Source organism: Homo sapiens, chromosome 22 (assembly GCF_000001405.40).
Source record: "Homo sapiens chromosome 22, GRCh38.p14 Primary Assembly".
Taxonomy (NCBI): Eukaryota; Metazoa; Chordata; class Mammalia; order Primates; family Hominidae; genus Homo; species Homo sapiens.
In genome coordinates, this window is record NC_000022.11 from 17,201,312 (window position 1) to 17,223,519 (window position 22,208).

The 22,208-nt window shown below is 47.3% G+C and overlaps 1 protein-coding gene and 1 pseudogene across 8 annotated transcripts in view, besides 5 other annotated features; one reads left to right on the top strand and one right to left on the bottom strand.

Moving 5' to 3' along the window:
- ADA2 (adenosine deaminase 2) overlaps positions 1-20,537 on the bottom strand; it is a 43,059-nt gene extending 22,522 nt beyond the window's left edge. For 2 of the 8 annotated variants that reach the window (NM_001282225.2, XM_047441406.1), the window contains exons 1-4: positions 18,045-18,124; positions 8,045-8,412; positions 5,760-5,979; positions 2,252-2,462 (exon numbers count right to left, since the gene is read on the bottom strand). In NM_001282225.2, the coding sequence (NP_001269154.1) occupies positions 2,252-2,462; positions 5,760-5,979; positions 8,045-8,366 (753 nt within the window). In that variant the 5' untranslated portion in view covers positions 8,367-8,412; positions 18,045-18,124. Of the gene's footprint in view, positions 1-2,251; positions 2,463-2,542; positions 2,579-5,759; positions 5,980-8,044; positions 8,413-18,044; positions 18,125-20,415 lie in introns of those variants that run through there. The other 6 variants (NM_001282227.2, XM_011546133.3, NM_001282228.2 and 3 more) reach the window with 6 other exon arrangements.
- Positions 868-1,368: an enhancer, noted in NCBI's record as "H3K4me1 hESC enhancer chr22:17683069-17683569 (GRCh37/hg19 assembly coordinates)". NCBI's record gives its function as "activates a minimal SCP1, AML or CMV promoter by ChIP-STARR-seq in primed H9 embryonic stem cells {active_cell/tissue: H9 hESC(primed)}" and the evidence as "EXISTENCE:reporter gene assay evidence [ECO:0000049][PMID:30033119]".
- FAM32BP (family with sequence similarity 32 member B, pseudogene) lies at positions 12,171-13,937 on the top strand (annotated as a pseudogene).
- Positions 17,501-17,861: an enhancer, noted in NCBI's record as "nonconserved acetylation island sequence 73". NCBI's record gives its function as "activates a minimal heat-shock promoter by reporter assays in Jurkat T cells {active_cell/tissue: Jurkat}" and the evidence as "EXISTENCE:reporter gene assay evidence [ECO:0000049][PMID:17135569]".
- Positions 17,501-17,911: a biological region, named in NCBI's record as "nonconserved acetylation island sequence 73 enhancer".
- Positions 17,702-17,771: an enhancer, noted in NCBI's record as "active region_18612". NCBI's record gives its function as "activates an Ori minimal core promoter by ATAC-STARR-seq in GM12878 lymphoblastoid cells {active_cell/tissue: GM12878}" and the evidence as "EXISTENCE:reporter gene assay evidence [ECO:0000049][PMID:35858748]".
- Positions 17,782-17,911: an enhancer, noted in NCBI's record as "active region_18613". NCBI's record gives its function as "activates an Ori minimal core promoter by ATAC-STARR-seq in GM12878 lymphoblastoid cells {active_cell/tissue: GM12878}" and the evidence as "EXISTENCE:reporter gene assay evidence [ECO:0000049][PMID:35858748]".

Below are 22,208 nucleotides of genomic sequence, written 5' to 3' on the forward strand. Positions count from 1 at the left end.
CTATCCCTTATGAATTTGTTCAGTGTGTATTGATCCTGCGGAGTCCTATCACTTCTGGGTCTACAAACAGTAAACTTCGGAGCGTATAAAAGCCTACAGAATATGCTAACAAAACTAAAATACTGCCACCATGTGGGCCTTTCCACAAGCTTAACTGTCAGTCCCCAAGGCATTTGTGTATCCGATCAATATGTAAATGAACGAGCAGACTCTCTTGGATACAATGTGGAGAAGACTCTACCAAAGGTCACTTTCCCCAAGCCACTGATAACCTTTAACCAGCTCAAACCCGTCTGAGCTCACCACATAAAACACCCAAGGATCCTGCCCACTCCCACAATACCCCATCTCCCTCAGCCCAACAAAAACATCCTCAGGAAAGTTCTCTCCAATAAACTCACTGAAATAAAACTCTAGCAGTATTTGAGCACCTAGGGCTGCTCTCCTCGAAAGATCCCTCCCCTACCAACACGGAGCCTGGTGTCAGTCCATCTCAGAGTACCTAACCTCAGTTATCCTTTGCTTCTGGCCAAAATGCAAGACCCAAAAATCAGATTTTTTTGATGATGCTCCCTTCTTTTGGACTCTTTCTACTCCTTTCCATTTCACTCTCTCCAAACTTCCTTCCTTAAAATCAAATTTTTTTTTCTTTTTTCTTTTTTTTTTTTTTTTTTTTTTGAGACGGAGTCTCGCTCTGTCATCCAGGCTGAAGAGCAATGGCGGTATCTCTGCTCACTGCAAGCTCCTCCCCCTGGGTTCAAGTGATTCTCCCGCCTCAGCCTCCCGAGTAGCTGATTACAGGTGCGCACCACCATGCCAGCTAATTTTTTTTTTTTTTGAGACAGTCTCACTCTGTCACTCAGGCTAGAGTGCAATGACACAATCTCTGCTCACTGCAACCTCCACCTCCCAGGTTCAAGCAATTCTCCTGCCTCAGCCTCCCAAGTAGCTAGAAGTACAGGCATGCGCCATCGCGCCCAGCTAATTTTTGTATTTTTAGTAGAGACAGGGTTTCACCATGTTGGCCAGGATGGTCTCGATCTCGACCTCGTGATCCGCCTGCCTCAGCCTCCCGAGTGCTGAGATTACAGGCATGAGCCACCTCGCCCGGCCAACAGCTAATTTTTGTATTTTTAGTAGAGATGGAATTTCGCCATGTTGACCAGGCTGGTTTCAAACTCCTGGCCTCAAGTGATCCACCAGCCTTAGCCTCCCAAAGTGCTGGGATTATAGGCATGAGCCAATGCACCTGGCCTCCCCTCTCTTTTTAACCTCTCCACACTTCTTCCTTCTGTGTGCAAAACAAGTCTCTCCATCCTAAAAAGAAACCTGTGGCCCCTGTGGTTCCCTCCAGCTATCTCGATGTTCTTTTTCTCAAATCACACTCAGAGCCTTTAATCAGCCAAACCTGGCTCCAATTCATCACCTGTATTTCATTTTTCTTTCTCTTTTCCTTTCTTTCTTTTTTTTTTTGTGTGTGTGTGTTTTTTGAGACAACATCTAACTCTGTCACCCAGGCTGGAGTGCAGTGGTGCGATCTTGGCTCAGTGCAATCTCTGCTTCCCAGGTTCAAGTGTTCTCCTGCCTCAGCCTCCCGAGTAGCTGGGACTACAGGCTCATGCCCGGCTAATTTTTTGTATTTTTAGTAGAGACAGTGTTTCACCATATTGGCCAGGCTGGTCTCAAACTCTTGACCTTGTGATCTGCCTGCCTCGGCCTCCCAAAGTGCTGGGATTACAGGTGTGAGCCACCATGCCCGGCCGTCTATTTCATTTTTCTACTCCCAGAAATGGGGTTTCTCTTCTCAGCATGTTACTGAAACTGCTCAAAGGTGACCTTGTAATTTCCAAATCCCATGGACGATTATGCATCTGCATGTCTCTTGCCCTCACCCTGCCATGTGGCTCCTTTTATTTTTCAAACCCCTTGTTTTGGCCCCTAAGATGGCTCTATCCCAATTCTCCTTCTCAGCTTATGTCACGAGGCCCTGAGTATCATGGCAGAGGGGAGAACGGGGAACCATGAGAAACAGGGGGGCAAAGGGCAGCACGGAATGTGTTCCCAGTTTTGCTGGAGGCTGCCCAGTCCATTTCAGGTTTCCTTGCTCATGTTGGCCCCTGGAAAGGCACATGATCCCTTGCACCAGAGACCTGAGTGGTCAATTCATGAGCATTCAGTCTTCTACCAGCTAAGATCTGAGTCAGGCCAGAGCAAAGGAGGTGGGAGGAACAGAGAGGAGAGCTGGGCTCACCGGCAGCAGCCTGGCTCTGATCTCCATGTAGAGCACGTTGTCCTCGTAGAACTCCTGCATGCTCCGGAAGACATAGTCTCTGAACACTGGTGCGTAATGGATGAGACCAGAGATGGTGAAGAAGATGGTTTCAAATTTCGACCAGACAACATTTTGGTTTGTGTAAATCACCTCCGGGTGCTGGGTCACCAGAGTGAAATTCCTCAGCAAGCTGTCCAAGACACGAAGTGGGGAGTGGCAGAGGCATGATCCAGGACACTGCCCCCGGGCGCCCATAGGACTGCTACCCACCTTGCATATCCCAGCTAGCAGCTCACAGGATTCACCCTAGAGTGGAGATAAGGAAGGGGCAAAGGGGAGCATTCCCACGCTCACGATATAAGCATGGGTCCTGTGGCCAGGCAGCCCACTGCCTGCTTAAACCCAAACCCCAAACGCAGGAGACTGCTTAAGATGAGAGCTCACCAGTCAGTCTCTCCTGGCTCCTGTCCTCCCTCTGTATGCTTGGCCAGTCTGACCCCACTGTACTTTCTAGACCAAAAAGCTCTCTCTCTCTCTCTTTTTTTCTTCCTATACCCACTGACAGGAAACTAGACCAAGCTCTTTTTGGGGAATGTTATGGACTAACTTGTGTCCCCAAACCCCCAAATTCAAATATTGAAGCCCTAGCCCTCATTTGGAGAAGGGAATTTTAAAGAGATGATTAAGACTAAATGAGGTTGTAAGGATGGGGCTCTACCCTAATAAGATGGGTGTCCTTGTAAGAAGAGGAGGCCAGGCGTGGTGGCTCACGCCTGTAATCCCAACACTTTGGGAGGCCAAGATGGGTGGATCATTTGAGGTCAGGAGTTCGAGATCAGCCTGGCCAACATAGTGAAACCCCATCTCTACTAAAATACAAAAATCAGCCAGGCGTGGTGGTTTGTCCCTGTAATCCCAGTTACTAGGGAGGCAAGAGAATTGTTTGAACCCTGGAAGTGGAGGTTGTAGTGAGCTGAGATCGCACCACTGTACTCCAGCCTGGGCGACACAGCAAGACTCATCTCAAAAAAAAAAAAAGAAGAAGAAGAAGAGACCGCAGGAGTGCACATACAGAGGAAAGGCCATGTGAGTACACAGCCAGAGGCGCCTTCTGCACGCCAAGGACAGAGGTCTCAGGAGGAACCACCCCTGCCCTGGCACCTTGATCTTAGACTTCCAGCCTCCAGAACCATGAGAAAATCAATTCCTTCTTTTTTTTTTTTTTTTTTGAAACAGGGTCTCACTCTGTTGCCCAGGCTGGAGTGCAGTGTCACAATCACAGCTCGCTGCAGCCTCAATCTCCCAGGCTCAAGCAATCCTCTTATGTCAGCCCCCTGGGGTAGCTGAGACTATAGGTGTACACCACCACATCTGGTTAATTTTTTATTTTTTGTTGAGATGGGGATCTCACTATGTTGCCCAGACTGGTCTTTCTTTCTTTCTTTTTTTTTTTAAACAGAATCTTGCTCTGTCGCCCAGGCTGGAGTGCAGTAGCATGATCTCAGCTCTCTGCAACCTCCGCCTCCCAGGTTCAAGTGATTCTCCTGCCTTGGCCTCCCGAGTAGCTGGGATTACAGGTGGCTGCCAGCATGCACGGCTAATTTTTTTGTATTTTTAGTAGAGACAGGGTTTCACCATGTTGGCCTGGCTGGTTTTGAACTCCTGACCTCAAGTGATCCGCCCACCTCGGTCTCCCAAAGTGTTAGGATTACAAGCATGAGCCACCACACCCGGCCACCAGGCTGGTCTTGAACTCCTGGGTGCAAGTGATCCTCCCACCTCAGCCTCCCGAAGTGCTAGGATTACAGGCATGACCCAGTGTGCCCGGCTTGAGAAAATCAGTTCCTATTGTTTAAGCTCCCCAGCCTGTGGTATTCTGTTATGGCAGCTCGAGCAGGTTAATGAAGGGAGTGGAATGGAAATAACTCGAATCAGCACCCAGGTTTGTATCCCCAACTGGCCATTTACCAGCTGTGTGTCCTTGCATAAGCTAATTAACCTTGCTCAGCTTCACGTTTCTCATTTCATAAAGGGAAGTAACCTCAGGGGGGCACTCTGTAGACATTTCTGTGACCAAATTAATTGTCACTTATAATATTACTATACAATGCCAGGCACAATGGCTCGGCTCATGCCTGTAGTCCTAGCACTTTGGGAGGCCAAGGTGAGAGGACGGCTTGAGCCGCAGAGTTCAAGACCAGCCTGGGCAACACGGCAAAACCCCATCTCACAAAAAATACAAAAATTAGCTGGGCATGATGGTGCACACCTCTAGTGTGCTGACACAGGAGGATTGCTTCAGCTGACACAGGAGGCTGACACAGGAGGATTGCTTCAGCCTGGGAGGTTGAGTCTGAAGTGAGCCGAGATTGTGCCACTGCACTCCAGCCTAGATGATAGAATGAGACCCTGTCTTAAATAGTAATAATAATAATGATACTATACAAGTCTGTTAGGAAGTTGCTGCATCAGATTTTCAAGAAGATTTATCTTCCAGCTAGATTGTCATCACTTCAGAGCTAGGAACTTTTATTCTCTCTGGTTTTATTGAGCATCAGACAAATCTCATTTGCTACAGCAATAGTGTTGCTGACTAGGCATGGTCACTCATGCCTGTAATCTCAGCACTTTGGGAGGCCAAGATGGGCAGATCTCCTGAGGTCAGGAGTTCAAGACCAGCCTGGCCAACATGGTGAAACCCTGTCTCTACTAAAAATACAAAAATTAGCCAGGCATGGTGGCACATGTCTGTAATCCCAGCTACTCAGAAAGCTGAGGCAGGAAAATCACTTGAACCCGGGAGGCAGAGGCTGCTGTGAGCCAAGATCAGGCTGCTGTGAGCCAAGATCACGCCACTACACTCCAACCTGGGTGACAGAGCAAGACCCTGTCTCAAATAATAATAATAATAAATAACAATAATAATAACAAACAAAAATAGTGTTGCTGATAATGCTTTTTGTAGATTTTAAATGCACCAGAAAAACTACTATGGATAGAAAAGGTGTTGAATGCTTTTGTGGAGCAAAGTATCCTGCAAGGTTAAAAGAAAAAGGTGCTCATGCTTTTTTTTTGAGATAGGGTTTTATTTTGTCACTCAGGCTGGAGTACAGTGGCTCCATCTCAGTTCACTGTGGCCTCAACCTCCTGGGTTAAAGTGATCCTCCTGGGTTAAAGTGATCCTCCTGCCTCAGCCTCCCAAGTACCTGGGACTACAGGTGCAGCACCACACCTGGCTAATTTTTTGTATTTTTGGTAGAGATGGGCTTTCACCATGTTGACCAGACTGGCAACTCCTGGGCTCAAGTGATCCGCTCGCCTTGGCCTCCCAAAGTGCTGGGATTATAGGCGTGAACCACCGCACTCAGCCTTGCCTCATGTTTTATTAAAGCCAGATTTTTATCTATAGGTTTGTACCAAGGGAGACACCTACCCACTGCCACCCCATGACAGGCCTGGGACATGTGCTTTCTGAACTACTACTCACCTGTCATCAAACTCAGTGACGTTCTGCACCCGCTTCCGATAATCCTCCAGCAGAATCCACTTGGAACATTTTTCTGATGGACGGGGAGTTGGGTGAGCAAATCTGAACTGCATGATCCCCCTTGGGGTGAAACAGATGTGGCAGTGAGGCCTGTAGGTGACATTCCTCACCAGCCAGTCCATAGTCACGATGCCAATGTCATGGAGGTGCAAGGCAGCCCCTGGAGAGGGAAGAAGAATGGTGAAGACAAAGGGGTGAAGTCCCATCCCAGGACTCCAGGGCTTGGGGACAAAGGAGGGGGTGAAGTCCCATCCCAGGACTCTGGGGCTGTGGGGACAAAGGGGTGAAGTCCCATCCCAGGGCTCCGGGGCTTGGGGACAAAGGGGTGAAGTCCCATCCCAGGGCTCCGGGGCTTGGGGACAGTGTGGATCACAAGAAGACGTGCAAGCAGAAGGATTTCTGTCCAGACATGTTTCTCGGAACTTGTTTAAGGCTCTAGTTTAAGGATGGGGCTTCCATGTCTCACTAATCAGGAGCCAGGGGTGATCTTGTCCAAGAGGGGCAGCATGGGAGAGTGAGAGGGCATCAGGCTTGGAACCAGAGAACTGAGGTTCAAGTCAGGGCTCCATTGGCTTCTAGCTCTCCAATGGGAGCCCAGGCCTTTCAATGAGGCCACCCAACACTGCATGACGGGATACACTGGGATGAGCCCCAGGGCCACGGTCCTTTTCACACACTTGTCCTCCATCCTCTCATCCTGCCCCTCAACTCCTCTCCCACTGGCTTTTCATCCCCTGCGCTGGGCCTGTGTCTGTACAGCTTCTGGCCTGCAGGCTTTGCCAGTTGAATCCCCATGCTTGTCCTCCCCACCAGACACCAGCTGTGCCCCTTGCTCCCCTAGGCACAGTGCATGCTGTCCCTCTGCGCTTCTTGTGCCCATCCAGCCCCTGGCCCTGACACGAGCCCCCAGACACCCTCTTATGCCTCCCAGCAACTGGGGATGCTACTTTACTGACCTCACGATTATTATTATTTTTTAAATCTCTATTTATAACATTAAAAGAAAAAAAAACAGCTGGGCACAGTGGCTCACTCCTGTAACCCCAGCACTTTGGGAGGCCGAGGCAGGCAGATCACGAGGTCAGGAGTTCGAGACCAGCCTGACTAACATGGTGAAACCCCATCTCTACTAAAAATACAAAAATTAGCCAGGCATGGTGGCATGTGCCTGTAATCCCAGCTACTCGGGAGGCTGAGGCAGGAGAATTGCTTGAACCTGGAAGAAGGATGTTGCAGTGAGCTGAGATCACGCCACCGCACTCCAGCCTGGGCGACAGAACAAGACTCCGTCTCAAAAAAAAAAAGAAAAAAAAAGAAAAAAAAAAAACAGGTGTTAAGTCTTTGTAAACTGCAAGCTGCTATTATTTTTACATTTTAAATTAACATTTTTGGCCAGGTGCAGTGGCTCACACCTGTAATCCCAGCACTTTGGGAGGCCGAGGAGTGTGGATTGCCTGAGCTCAGGTGTTCGAGATCAGCCTGGCCAACATGGTGAAACCCCGTCTCTACTAAAAGTACAAAAATTATCCAGGTGTGGTGGTTCATGCATGTAATCCCAGCTACTCAGGAGGCTGAGGCAGGAGAATCACTTGAACCTGGGAGGCAGAGGTTGCAGTGAGCCAAGATCACACCAGTGCACTTCAGCCTGGGCAACAGAGTGAGACTCTGTCTCAAAAAAAATTTTTTTTAATAAAAAAAAAAATTAACATTTTTTGGGGAACAGGGTCTTGCTCTGTCGCCCAGGCTGGAGTGCAGAGGTGCCATCATAGCTCCCTGCAAACTCCACCTCCTGGGCTCAAGCGATACTCTCCACTCAGCCTCCAGAGTAGCTCGGATTACAGGTGCACCACCACCCCTGGCTATTTATATGTGCGGGATGCTAATTATTTCATGTTTCATGGAGGTGTGTTTATACTACTCCAGGATGCTATATCACATTGTATCCTATGTGGTAGCTTAGCCCCTGGGAAAACTAAAAAGGGAATAGCAAAGTCTCAGGGCTGGATGCTTTTCCAATCCTGACTGTCTGCGAGTCCCCCAGGAAGCAGGGGTTTTGGTTTTCAACACCCTTTTCCTAGTCTACCCATAAGGACAGAGGAGCAGAACAGCTGAGTGAGGCTTTCTCTGCTCCATCTAGAATAGCAACAGCCACAAGCACAGTAATAGCCCCAAGATGAGTCCCTCTACCTTCCCAGCACCCCAAGCCACCCCTTTCCAAACCTTACCTTTTGGCATCATCCTTAGAATATTAAACACTTGACTTCTCTCAATGAGATGCTTGGCCTGGAAAAAGTGCATGCTGGGTGGGAATATCAGGGTCCTCATGGCCTCCTTCATCTCAGCGATTTTGAGCGTCATGAGCCTCTCATTGGCCAGCTCCTCCTTGGTGTTCAGCACCAGCCGCCCCCCCAGCCGCATCATCTTTTCTTTCAACAACAGATGCGCCCGTGTTTCATCTATGGATAGAGCTGAGCCGAAGAAAGACATTGCCACAGCCAACAGCAAGAAGCACAGGGCTGGCCGCTCAGATGGGCCATCCACCAACATCGGGATGCCTGGACTAGGAAAGGGCTCAGATGGAGACTCCACGGGACTGCAAAGGAGAGTGGGGGAGTGAAAACCTACAGATTTAAGGGTGGAACTCTGATCTTCCTTTTCTCGCCCTGCTCTCAGATTACCAGAAGGCAAGATATTGAAGGATTCTTCTTCCAGACCCCAGAGAAAAGACCTACAGGTACAGACAGGTAGGGGTTTCCCAATTTTTTTTTTTTTTTTTTTGAGACGGAGTCTCGCTCTGCTGCCCAGGCTGGAGCACGGTGGTGCAATCTCGGCTCACTGCGAGCTCCGCCTCCTGGGTTCACACCATTCTCCTGCCTCAGCCTCCCGAGTAGCTGGGACTACAGGTGCCCGCCACCATGCCCGGCTAATTTTTTGTATTTTTAGTAGAGACGGGGTTTCACTGTGTTAGACAGGATGGTCACGATCTCCTGACCTCGTGATCTGCCCGCCTGGGCCTCCCAAAGTGCTGGGATTACAGGCGTGAGCCACTGCACCACCTGGCATTTTTTTTTTTTTTTGAGATGGAGTTTCACTCTTGTTGCCTAGGCTGGAGTGTAATGGTGTGATCTCGGCTCACTGCAACCTCCGCCTCCCGGGTTCAAGTGCTTCTCCTGCCTCAGCCTCCCAAATAGCTGGGATTACAGGCATGCATCACCACGCCCGGCTAATTTTGTATTTTTAGTAGAGACGGGGTTTCTCCATGTTGGTCAGGCTGGTCTCGAACTCCTGACCTCAGGTGATCCGCCAGCCTCAGTCTCCCAAAGTGCTGGGATTACAGGCATGAGTCACCGCGCCCGGCAGGTTTTCCCAAATTAAAGGTCACCATGAGGTCAAACAAGCCCTGGCTCATGCATAAAGACACTGCAATCTGATTTTTAGTGGTTCACTTTTATTTTATTTTATTTATTTTAATTTTTGTTTTTTTTAAGACAGAGTCTTGCTCTGTCACCCAGGCTGGACTGCAGTGACGTGATCTTGGCCCTCTACAACCTCCGCCTCCAGGGTTTAAGCGATTCTCGTGCCTCAGCCTCCCAAGTGGCTGGGACTACAGGCACGCGTCACCATACCCAGCTAATTTTTGTATTTTTAATAGAGACCATATTGGCCAGGCTGGTCTTGAACTCCTAGCCTCAAGTGATCCACTCATCTCAGCCTCCCAAAGTGCTGGGACTACAGGCATGAGCCAACATGTCCAGCCAGTGTTTTACTTTTAAATATAACCAGCATGCCTGTGGTCCCAGCTATTCAGGAGGCTGAAGCGGGAGCATCACTTGAGCCCAGTACTTTGAGGCTGCAATGAGCTTTGACCTCACCACTGCACTCCAGCCTTGGCAACAGATCAAGACCTTGTCTCTAAAAAAAATATTTTTTTATTAAAAAATAAAAATACGGCTGGGCGCGGTGGCTCACGCCTGTAATCCCAACACTTCAGGAGGCCGAGGCGGGTGGATCACGAGGTCAGGAGTTTGAGACCAGCCTGGCCAATATGATGAAAACCCGTCCTACTAAAAATACAAAAATTAGCTGGGCATGGTGACGCATGCCTGTAGTCCCAGCTGTTTGGGAGGCTGAGACAGGAGAATCACTTGAACCCAGGAGGCAGAGGTTAGAATAAGCTGAGTTCGCGCCACTGCACTCCAGCCTGGGCGACAGAGCAAGACTCAATCTCAAAATAAATAAATAAAATTAAAATAAGACCAGGTGCTGGCACAGCAGGTGGATTGCTCAAGCCCAGGAATTCAAGACCATTCTCAGCAACATGTTGAAACTCCATCTCTACAAAAGATACAAAAATTAGCTGGGCGTGGTTGTGCACACCTATAGTCCCAGCTACTGGGGAGGCTGAGGTGGGAAGTTCACCTGAGCCTGGGAAATCGAGGATGCAATGAGCCAAAATTGCGCCACTGCAATCCAACCTGGGTAACAATGTCATATCCTCTCTAATAAATAAATGAATTGGCCAGGCGCAGTGGCTCACCCCTGTAATCCCAGCACTTTGGGAGGCTGAGGTGGACGGATCACGAGGTCAAGAGATCGAGAGCATCCTGGCCAACATGGTGAAACCCCGTCTCTACTGAAAATACAAAAATTAGCTGGGCGTGGTGGCATGCACCTGTAGTCCCAGCTACTCAGGAGCCTGAGGCAGGAGAATTGCTTGAATCCGGGAGGCGGAGGTTGCAGTGAGCCAAGATCGTGCCACTGCACTCCAGCCTGCCAACAGAGTGAGACTCCGTCTCAAAAAAAGAGGAAAAAAAAATTAATTAATTAATTAATTAAATAGCAAAGAAACAATTAACAGAATGAAGAGACAACCTATTTTTTTCTTTTCTTTTCTTTTCTTTTCTTTTGTGGGGGACGGAGTTTCGCTCTTGTCAACCAGGCTGGAGTACAATGGCGCGATCTCGGCTCACCGTAACCTCCTCCTCCCAGGTTCAAGCGATTCTCCTGCCTCAGCCTCCAGACTAGCTGGGATTACAGACACGTGCCACCACGCCCGGCTAATTTTTTTATATTTTTAATAGAGATGGGGTTTCACCACGTTGGTTAGGCTGGTCTCGAACTCCTGACCTCAGGTGATCCACCAGACTCGGACTCCTAAAGTACTGGCATTACAGACATGAGCCACCGTGCCCAGCCTTTTCTTGGCTCACTGCAATCTCCGTCTCCCTGGTCCAAGTAGTTCTTCTGCCTGAGCCTCCCAGCTCCTGAGTAGCTGGGACTACAGGCATGTGCCACCAGGCCCGGCTAATTTTTTTGTATTTGTAGTAGAGACGGAGTTTCACTATGTTGCCCAGGCTGGTCTTGAACTCCTGACCTCAGGTGATCCTCCTGCCTTGGCCTCCCAAAGTGCTGGGATTACAGGCGTGAGTCACCATGCCCGGCCAATCTCTTGAATAGGAGAAAATATTTACAAATTAGTTATCTGATGGAGAGCTAATATCCAGACTATATAAGGAAATCAAACAACTCAACAGTAAAAGGACAAATAATCTCACTTAAAAAATGGCCAAAGACCCAAAGACATACAAAATGGCCAATACGTATACGAATAAATGCCCAAATTTTTTTCTTTGCTTTGCTTTCTTTCTTTCTTTTTTTTTTTTCCTTGAGACAGGGTCTTACTCTGTTGCCCAGGCTGGAATGCAGTAGCGTGAGTCCACTTGGTTGGACTCCAAAGCTCGCTGCAGCGGCAACCTCCCGGCTTCAAGGAATCCTCCCACCCTAGCCTCCTGAGTAGCTGAGTGTAGTACCACTACACTCAGCTAATTTTTTTTTTTTCTTTAGAGACAGGGTCTCACTATGTTGCCATGGCTGGTCTCAAACTCCTGGGCTCAAGCGATCCTCCTGCCTCTACCTCCCGACATTCTGGGATTATAGATCTGAGCCACCAGGCCCAGCCAACATTTTTTCTAATCACTGGGGGAGTGCAAATCAAAACTACAATGAGATCGTCTCACCCCATCTCAAAAAATGGCTATTACTTAAAAGGCAAAAAATAACAGATGCTGGTGAGGATGTAGAGAAAAGGGAGCTCCTTACACCACTGGTGGGAGTGTAAACTAGTACAGCCACTATGGAGAACAGTATGGATATTTCTTGAAAAACTAAAAATAGAACTACCATACGATCCAGCAATCCCATTACTGGGTATCTATCCAAAGGGAAGGAAATCAGTATGTCAAAGGGATACCTGTACTCGGATGCTTATTGCAGCACTATTCACAATAGCAAAGTTATGGAAACAACCCAAGTGTCCACCAACAGATCAACGGATAAAGAAAACGTGGCAAGTCCATCTACCGAAGCACCGGGGAGTGTCGTGGATGCCTACGAGCAGGTACAAAAAGGACTTCTAAAGCTGAAAGGCGTCGCAGAGCTCAGAGTGACCAAGCGGAAGAAGAAAAAGAAGGACAAAGACAAAGCTAAACTCCCGGAATCAATGGGAATGAACAAAAAGAATGAGGAGGAGAAGCAGCACGGCCTGGACAAGTGGACCCCGGCCCGCGCAGCCTTTGAGAAAATGCAGGAGAAGCGGCAATGGAAAGGATCCTCAAGAAAGCATCCAGGCCAGGCTTGGTGACTCACGCCTGTAATCCCAGCACTTCAGGAGGCTGAGGCGGGTGGATCACCTGAAGTCAGGAGTTCAAGACCAGTCTGGCCAACACGGTGAAACCCCGTCTCTATTAAAAATACAAAAAATTAGCTGGGCGTGGTGGTGTGTGCCTGTAATTCCAGCTACTCAGGAGGCTGAGGCAGGAGAATCGCTTGAACCCGGTAGGGAGAGGTTGCAGTGAGCCAAGATTGTTCCATTGCACTCCAGCCTGAGCAACAAGAGCGAAACTCTGTCTCAAAAAAAAAAAAAAAAAAAAATAGCATCCAAAACCCACAAGCAGAGAGTGGAGGACTTCAACAGACACCTGGACACACTCACGGAGCATTACATTCCCAGAGTCAGCTGGACGAAATAGCCGCCTGCCCCCAGTAGGGAGCAGCATCGAGGGTTGGCAAAAGGCCATGCTGGGGTTGTGTGTGTTTCCTTTGGTATATTCTAGAAACATGGCTTTACACACACCCTCGCATCTTCTGCTACAAACTGCTTTTCGAAGCTGTGTACCCTCATTCTGTAACTTGATTAAAGTAAAATTGTCCTTGTACTCAGTTTAGGTTTCTTGGCAACATATAGAAGATACACCCTTTTAGTTCGGATGGAAAGTTTCTAAGTTTATTCAGAGGTAAAGCCCATTTCTGTGTCCGTACCATGTAAAAATGTTTTTATCCCCGAGTTGCATCTAACGCTCTGAGGCCAGCCAGCTGTCTTCTCCAGGATCAGATGGACTCCAGAGGATAAGGAGCTAATGCCAGGGTGGCCTGTAGTATGCAGAGCTCCGCAGGACCCAGCATGGGTGCCCCTCCAAGCTTCCTCTAGCTTGGGGCCTATGCTGGTCCTGCAGGCCCCAGGGAAGCCATTTGCAACTCTGTGGCCTTCAGACTTCCTCCTCAGCCACTGGCCACTGAGACAGCACAGCCTGGGTGGCAGAACAGCCACCTAAGGCAAGAATGGAAGGAAACACTTTGTTCCTTTCTGAGCCCATTCCCCAAAACCCTCCTTCCAGGTACTCCTAATGGGTATTGCCATGGCAGACATTGCTAATGGATCACAGCATTCTTTGAAATGGAGCCCAGATATAGCCTGCCTGTCAATCCTCAGCTGGGGGCTCCTAGCAGCCTCTTGTATTTATTCAGAGTTGACACATCACACGGAGCCTGTCTGGCATTCCTACCCTAAGGACACCTCAGGGGTGACAGGACCAGGGCAGAGCCCCAGTACAAACAGACATGGGTGCAGTCAAATGGGAGGGCCCAGGCATCCGTCTTGGAGGGCTGGGATTTTGTAGGGCCTGTGTGTCCTGGTTGAGGATCAAACCGCATATGCTATTGGGAGAAACAATCTCTGTGGACATACATACTGAAAGAATAACAAAGGCAGAAGAGAAAAACAAAGTGTGGAATTTGGGGTTCTCCTGTGTAAATTACACAAGAAAGCAGAAGCCAGTTATTTAAAAAAGAAAGAAAATGTGGCATATATACACAATGGAATACTACTCAGCCATTAAAAAATGAAATCACGGGCTGGGCACGGTGGCTTACGCCTGTAATCCCAGCACTTTGGGAGGCCGAGGCAGGAGGCAGGTGGATCACGAGGTCAGGGGTTTGAGACCAGCCTGACCAACATGGTGAAACCCCGTCTCTACTAAAAATACAAAAATTAGCTGAGCGTGGTGGCGGATGCCTGTAATCCCAGCTACTCAGGAGGCTGAGGCAGGAGAATTGCTTGAACCCAGGAGGCGGAGGTTGCAGTGAGCCGAGATCATGCCATTGCACTCCAGCCTGGGCGACAGAGCAAGACTCCGTCTCAAAAAAAAAAAAAGAAAAAAGAAATCACGTCATTTGCACCAACATGCACGGAACTAGAAGACATAATGTTAAATGAAATAAGCCAGACACAGAAGGACAAACACCGTATGTTCCCACTCATGTGTGAGAGCTAAGGAAGTTGATCTCATAGATATAGAGAATAGAAAGATAGACACCAGAGACTATGAAGGGTTGGGGTAGACATGGGGGATGAAGAGAAGTTGGTTATGGGTACAAATAGACAAGCACTTCAAGAGGCTGAGGCAGGAGAATCACTTGAGCCTAGAAGTTGAAGACTGGCCTGGGCAACAAAGCGAGACCCCCATCTCTACAAAAAATTTAAAAATTATCGGCAGGCAGATCACGAGGTCAGGAGTTCGAGACCAGCCTGACCAACATGGTGAAACCCCATCTCTACTAAAAATACAAAAATTAGTCAGGCGTGGTGGCGTGCACCTGTAATCCCAACTACACAGGAGGCTGAGGCAGGAGAATCGCTTGAACCTGAGAGGCGGAGGTTGCAGTGAGCCGATATCGCACCACTGCACTCCAGCCTGGGGAAGAAGCAAGACTTCATCTCAAAATAAATAAATAAATATAATAATAAAAATTATCCATGTGTAGTGGTACACACCTGTACTCCCAGCTACTCAGCAGGCTGAGGTGGGAGGATCACTTGAGTCTGGGAGGTCAAGGCTGCAGTGAGCCATGATGGTGCCATTGCACTCCTGCCTGGGTGACAGAGTGAAACCCTATCTGCCCCACTCCCAGGAAAAAAAAAAACCTACAGTTAGATAGAAGAAATAAGTTCTAATGTTTCATAGTAGACTAGGGTGACTATACTTAGCAATAATATTATGTATATTTCAGAGTAACTAAGACCGGGCATGGTGGCTCATGCCTGTAATCCCAGCACTTAGGGAGGCCGAGGCAGGTGGATCACAAGGTCAGGAGTTCAAGACCAGCCTGGCCAACATGGCAAAACCCTGTCTCTACTAAAAATACAAAAACTAGCCATGTGGCGTGTGCCTGTAATCCCAGCTACTTGGGAGGCTGAGGCAGGAAACTTGCTTGAACCCAGAGGGCAGAGGTTGCAGTGAGCCGAGTTCGTGCCACTGCACTCCAGCCCGGCAACAGAGCAAGACTCCACCTCAAAAAAAAAAAAAACACACACACACACACACATATATATAGAGAGAGAGACTCAAATAAAATGGATTAAAGTTAAAATAAATAAATAAATAACAAATATAACCAGAGCACAAGATCATAAGACATGCTTCAAACTGAGAAAGAAACCAAAACAAAACACACAGAGATAAGGAACTGAGAGGAAACAAAGCAACACAGGAAATAAAAGAAAAACCTGAAAGAACTGTAATTAACATCCTTAAAGACATAAAACATTGTGTGTGTAAAACAGGAACAGGAGGTGATTAAAAAAATGAGAATTAGAAAGAACTTTCAGAAATTAAAAACAGCAAAGCCGAATGTTTAAAAATTTACTAGCAATATTAAAAATGAAGTTAAAGAAAATATTTTTAAAAGTAAAGCAAAATAGGAGAAAAGAAAATGAGATGATTATTGGTTGAAGAAATCCAACACCCAAATAACAGACATTTCAGAAGGAAAAAGAAAAAAAAAACAGGTGAAGGAAATAAGCCAATAAGGAATACAAGAAATTGCCCCAGAACTGACAGTCTTTAGATTGAGTACCTTGCACAGCACAGTCAATCATTCTGTGGCCACACCAAGGTACAGCATCTTGGTATTTCAGAGCATTAGCATTAGAAAGGATTATCAAAACTTGCAGAGAGCAGCCAGTTCAGGGTGGCAACGAGCAGGGACTGAAGGAAGGAAATGTATTCAGCATCTCCTCACACAAGGCTCTATGCTGCTCCTTTACCTGGGTTATCTATTTGAATTACATTTAAGAAGGGGCAGTGGCTCATGCCTATAATCCCAGCACTTTGGGAGGCTGAGGTGGGCAGATCACTGGTGCCCAGGAGTTCGATACCAGCCTGGGCAACATAGCAAAACCAAAATACAAAAATTAGCCAGGCGTGGTGTATTGAACCTGTAGTCCCAGCTATTCATGAGGCTGAGGCATGAGAAGTTCTTGAACCTGGGAGGCGGAGGTTTCAGTGAGCCTAGATTGCACCACTGCACTCCAGCCTGGGTGACAGAGCAAGACTCTGTCTCAAAAATAAATACGTAAATAAAATTTTTAAAATGAAAATAAAACGATTGTTTCTCTACACTTGAAAGTATGATACAGCATACTGGAACATGTCAAGACTGTAAATTAGGAGACCTTAGGAACAGCCTCAAATTAGTATCATTCTAACTGTGCAACCTTGGGCAAATCACTAACGTCTCCAGATCTCAGTGTCCTCACCTACAAAAAAGGTAACTTGGACAAGATCAGTGGTTTTCCAAGTGCAGCATGAATATCATCAGTGGCATAAATACAATCTTAGGTGGCTCACAAATGGATAGGGGTTATGTTGACAGATAGGTAATTTTAAAACATGTATTAGCACATCAAACCCATGATATCGTAACTATTATTGTTTTTGTTGAAAAATTTTTAAGTTAAAGAAAAATATTAAGTAAATAGAGGTGCAAGGATATGACAAAAATGGAAAGTTTGCTACTCATTAAATCATTTTAATATCCAAGATTCTTCCCAGCTCAGTTATTCTGTAGTACATCAGATAGCAAAGAAAATTTTAAGAAGGAACTAGTATCAGCAATATGCAGTTATGGCAGAAGCTGTACCCCCAAAATCAGAGTGCTGGACGTCAGCAGAACCCCTTTAACTTCATTAAGTCCTTGACTCTCTTTTTTGACCACGGTGTTTGCCTGCTACTAAAATCTCTAGGGCAGGAGCACGGTGACTTCTATGTCACCATCCCACCTACCCCATGCCACATTCTCCATCAACAGCCCCGCCCCTTGTCCCTGTCTCCCTGGTGACACATAACAAAGGCCATCAAGCTCCCAAATCTTCAACTCCATCCTCTCCAAGAAGGACCCCAAAAGCATTTGTGTCCCAGCAACTGTGAACTTTTCCAGGCTGCCAGACAGAAGTTTATCTAATGGTGGTCAAGACCTGCCTGGTTGAATACTAGTAAAAACAATCCTTATTCACAATTTATTGCTATATCTACTTCATCTTCTCTCCTCCACAAGATTTTCCTTTTACTTTTAAAAGAGGATGCATGAAAACTTCATAAAGTAGTTTGCTTCCAGACTAAGAAGAAAGGAGGCTGGGTGTGGTGGCTCTGCCTGTGATCCCAGCCCTTTGGAAGGCCGAGGCAGGCAGATCACCTGACGTCAGTCGTTCAAGACCAGCCTGGCCAACACGGTGAAACCCCGTCTCTACTAAAAATACAAAAATTAGCCGGGCGTGGTGGTGGGTGCCTGTAATCACAGCTATTAGGGAGGCTGAGGCACAAGAATGGCTTGAACTCGAGAGGCAGAAGTTGCAGAGAGCCGAGATCGTGCCACCACACTCCAGCCTGGTGACAGTGGAGTAGGCCACATGCATCTGTGGTCCTGAGTAAATGCCCTTGGGCCCATTTTCAAAAGCCTGTTGGGAGAAAGCCTGTTACTCCTCCACTGAGAGTCTCAGACCCAGCTCAGATGGAGACAGGGAGAGGTGCAGGTGGATCAAGCCCAAGCTCCGGACTTCCCAGCTACCTCCTGAACCTCATCATCCCACAGCTCCCAAAGGACCCCAGTTACCTCGGAACAGCTCCAGAAACTGAGGGCTGTTTGCTCAGCGCCCCAGCATCTGTGCAGAGCACCGGAAAAGCTCACCAACTGTTTCACTTCCTGTTGGGGTAGGTTTTATTTCCCTCCAGTGTGCACCAGGGATCCAACTAGAGGCCGGGGAGAGGGGCTCTGCAGTGCTGAGGCAGCCAGAGTGGCAAGTGTGTGGCTTACATGCATGCTTGCTGTGTGCATCTGAGTTTGATGTGGGGGGCTTGTGCGCATGTTCATGTGGGTGTTTGTGTGTTCGTGTGTGTTTCGGTTTATGTGCATGTGGGGTTTGTTTTTTTTTTTTTTTTTTTTTTTTTGTAGACAGAGTTTCACTCTTGTTGCCCAAGCTGGAGTGCAATGGCGCAATCTCAGCTCACTGCAGCCTCCGCCTCCCGGGTTCAAGCAGTTCTCCTGCCTCAGCCTCCCGAGTAGCTGGGATTGCAGGCGTGCGCCACCATGCCCCACTGATTTTTTGTATTTTTAGTAGAAATGGGGTTTCACCATGTTGGTCAGGCTGCTCTCGAACTCCTGACCTCAGGTGATCCGCCCACCTCGGCCTCCCAAAGTGCTGGAATTACAGGCGTGAGCCACCATGCCCGGCCGCATGTGGGTTTATTTGTGTTGGAGGGAGGGTGTGTGTGTGTTTGTGTGTACTGTGTCTTTGAAAGGTCCACAGCATGTTGGTTTTGGAAACAAGCACCGCAAAGAGGCACTCCAAAATCTGTTCATGAACTCTGGGAAGTTCTCCTTCCTCAAAATGTGATTGTGGACTGTGGGGCAACCCATTAGACAGAGAGTAAAAAGTAGCTATAATAAAATATATGTTTTAGGGGGGAAATCAGGGATGCGGGGACAGGACAGTAGAGGGGGCAGGAGGTAGGAGACAAGAGCTGGGGTGTGAAGAGGACCAGCAAGAACAACGCTCCAAGGGACAAGTGGAGCAGACAAGGCTCCTGTACCCAGGACGGTCAGAGTCAGACCTCGCTTTGTAGCTGGCCTTAGCACTGTAGCAGTGGGGCCTCGACCAAGTTGTTTCAACTCTCTATACTTCAGTTTCCTCATCTGAAAATGTGGATAATAAAAGCACCCACCACAGAGGGTCCATTGTCAGAATTAAAGGAAAAACACATGCAAAGTACCTGCCACATAGAAAGCTCTTGATAAATATTAGCCATGACTATTCTTAGAAGTAACTATTGGGATGCCTCATCCAAGCCAATTAGAAATGCAGACATGGGAGGCTACACCAGGGACCTCCATGTCACATGCATGGTCTAAAGACTCGATTGCACCCCACTCCTCCCCAGTCCCACTCAAATCTACCCCCAAGACCCCAAATCTACCCCCAAAAGCCCACGGCAGTTTCAGTTCTGCAGCTCCCATACATCTGGAGCCTTGATGCTCCTTTTTGTCATTTTCTCCAAAAAGTACCAAGGTCATTCATTTAATAAACAGGAAGAAATCCCAAAGTGAAAACACAGAGGGGTCAGGGATTCCCTCATCAAGAGTTCAAGACTAGGCTGGGCTCAGTGGTGCATGCCTGTAATCCCAGCACTTTGGGAGGCCGAGGCAGGTGGATCACAATGGAAGGGGTTCGAGACCAGCCCCTACTAAAATACAAAAATTAGGTGTGGTGGTGCGCACCTGTAATCCCAGCTACTTGGGAGGCTGAGGCAGGAGAATTGCTTGAACCCTGGAGGTGGAGGTTGCAGTGAGCTGAGATTGCACCATTGCACTCCAGTCTGGATGACAGAGTGAGATTTTGTCTCAAAAAAAAAAAAAAGAGTTTAACACTAATTTTTTGAAAGTTAGAGGAAGCAGAATGCACCGCAAGTAATAAGGAGAAACAAGATTGATTCCAGCGCCGCACAAAGGGAAACCACCAATTCTGAAAGTAAATCATGTGAAGGGTTTTTTGTGGGTTTTTTTTATACTTTAAGTTCTAGGGTACATGTGCACAATGTGCAGGTTTGATACATAGGTATACCTGTGCCATGTTGGTTTGCTGCACCCATCAACACATCATTTACATTAGGTATTTCTCCTAATGCTATCCCTCCCCCAGCCCCGACCCCCCCGACAGGCCCTGGTGTGTGATGTTCCCCTTGAAGGGTTTTTTTAAAGACCAGGTCAAAGCTAAAGATCAAGCTTTTCTTTCCAAACGCTTTAGCTAAAAGTAGGAGCTAATTTTCACATCTCCGAAGGTGGCTCCAGGACTCCAAGTCACACCTTGGCAAGGGTGTGGCAGCTGGCAGAGGACTGCAGGTCCTTGTCAGGCAGAACCTGCCGGGTTCTGGGGAGTGGAGACTCAGATCTTGAGGTGGAAGCAGAGACAAGAGCTGGGCACACTTACCTGGATGTGGGGTTGGGAGCGGTGAATCAGAGCCCAGTTAGATCCTGGAGGCTGGCAGCAGGCTCTGCAGAGGTGCAGGGGCACCTCATTCAGAAGGGGCCATTTATTGGCCCTCTGTGGCTAAAACCAGCTCCAAGCAGGACTTTTTATGGCTGGAGTCGCCTCCAAAGGGGCGTCGGCCTCCACTCAGGTGTGACTCTGAGCGTTGCCTAGCTGAAAAGGCGTGATGATAGGGAGCACACGTGAGGCCATTCGGGAAGAATATTTTGCCAAGTGCAGAGGCCGTAAAAACGTGGAACATGGCTCTGTTTTTTATGCTCTATTGAAAATGATCATCAGAAGCAGAAACTGGGCTTGTGTTCAGAACCTGAAAATCTGCAGGGCAGAAAAACAGGACAAAGGCATCTTTTAGTGACTGCAAAACTAAACCTCAACAGAAAGATGCCTGAAGAGACAGGTGGATTATGACCTCAGAATTGGAGACAGGAGAGGTTTTCAGAATTAAAGATCATCTATGGCTACACAAACATTTGAGAGGTATTTTCATTAAAACATCCCTTTCTTCACACCAATATCATGAATTATATGCTATGCACAACCTATAACAGAGTATAGCAGAGTTACCAGTGGTTTAAAGTGCTGCATATATGATTGTTATATGAGGTAAATAAGATTCTCTGACCCAGAGTTAAGAAAATGGAAATAATAATTGCTAAGGCATATTAAGAATTATATATGTATGTGTGTGTGTATATATATATATATATATATATATATATATATATATATATATATATAACATTTAATCCCTACAGCAATACATACCTATAAATGAGTATATACAAATATGTGTGTGTATGTGTGTGTGTGTATATATACTCATTTAATCCTTGCAGCAATCTTATAAGGTAGGGACTATTGCAATCCCCACTTGAGAGAGGCGTACCCTGAAGCACCTGGCAGTAAGGTAACTTGCCCAAGGTCACACAGCTAGTAACAAGCATAGCACGGCCTTGCAGGCCCAGGTGGGTTCCACCACACCGCTTTCCCTGGCAGCAAGAAAATGGAAGGTTTTTGAAGTAGTGGGGGAGTCACCGGGCACAAGGAAGCAGATCCCTGGAGGAACACACAATTAGCAAAAGTGGAGCCCAGGAATAGACGTTACCAGGCATAAGTGATTTTTCCAGACACTGGGAACTTGTGTTTTGAAACACCAAAGTATTTTTAGGAAGCAGAAAAGTTAGCTCTTTCATTGAACTGCTATGTGGTTTTGAAGAAAATGTCCTAATATCCATAAAACTCAAAGCTTTAATCTGCAAGAAGGAAAAAATGTCATGTGCCTCCTACTAAGTTTTTTTTTTCTAAGTAAGTTTTTTGTGTGTGTGTATGTATGAAATAATATATGTGAAAATTTTTTTTTGAGACAGAGTCTCGCTGTGTCACCTAGGCTGGAGTGCAGTGGCACAATCTTGGCTGTCTGCAGCCTCTGCCTCCCAGTCTCAAGCAATTCTCTGCCTCAGCCTCCCGAGTATCCAGGATTACAGGCACCTGCCACCATGCCTGGCTAATTTTTTTTTTGTATTTTTAGTAGAGACGGGGTTTCACCATCTTGGCCAGGCTGGTCTTGAACTCCTGACCTCGTGATCCACCTGCCTCAGTCTTCCAAGTGCTGGCATTACAGGCGTGAGCCACTGTGCCTGGCTGAAAATATTTTTAAAACTATAAAGCAACTATACAATTACACAGCATAAATGATTTTCATTTTTCTTTTTTTTTGAGAAGGAGTTTCACTC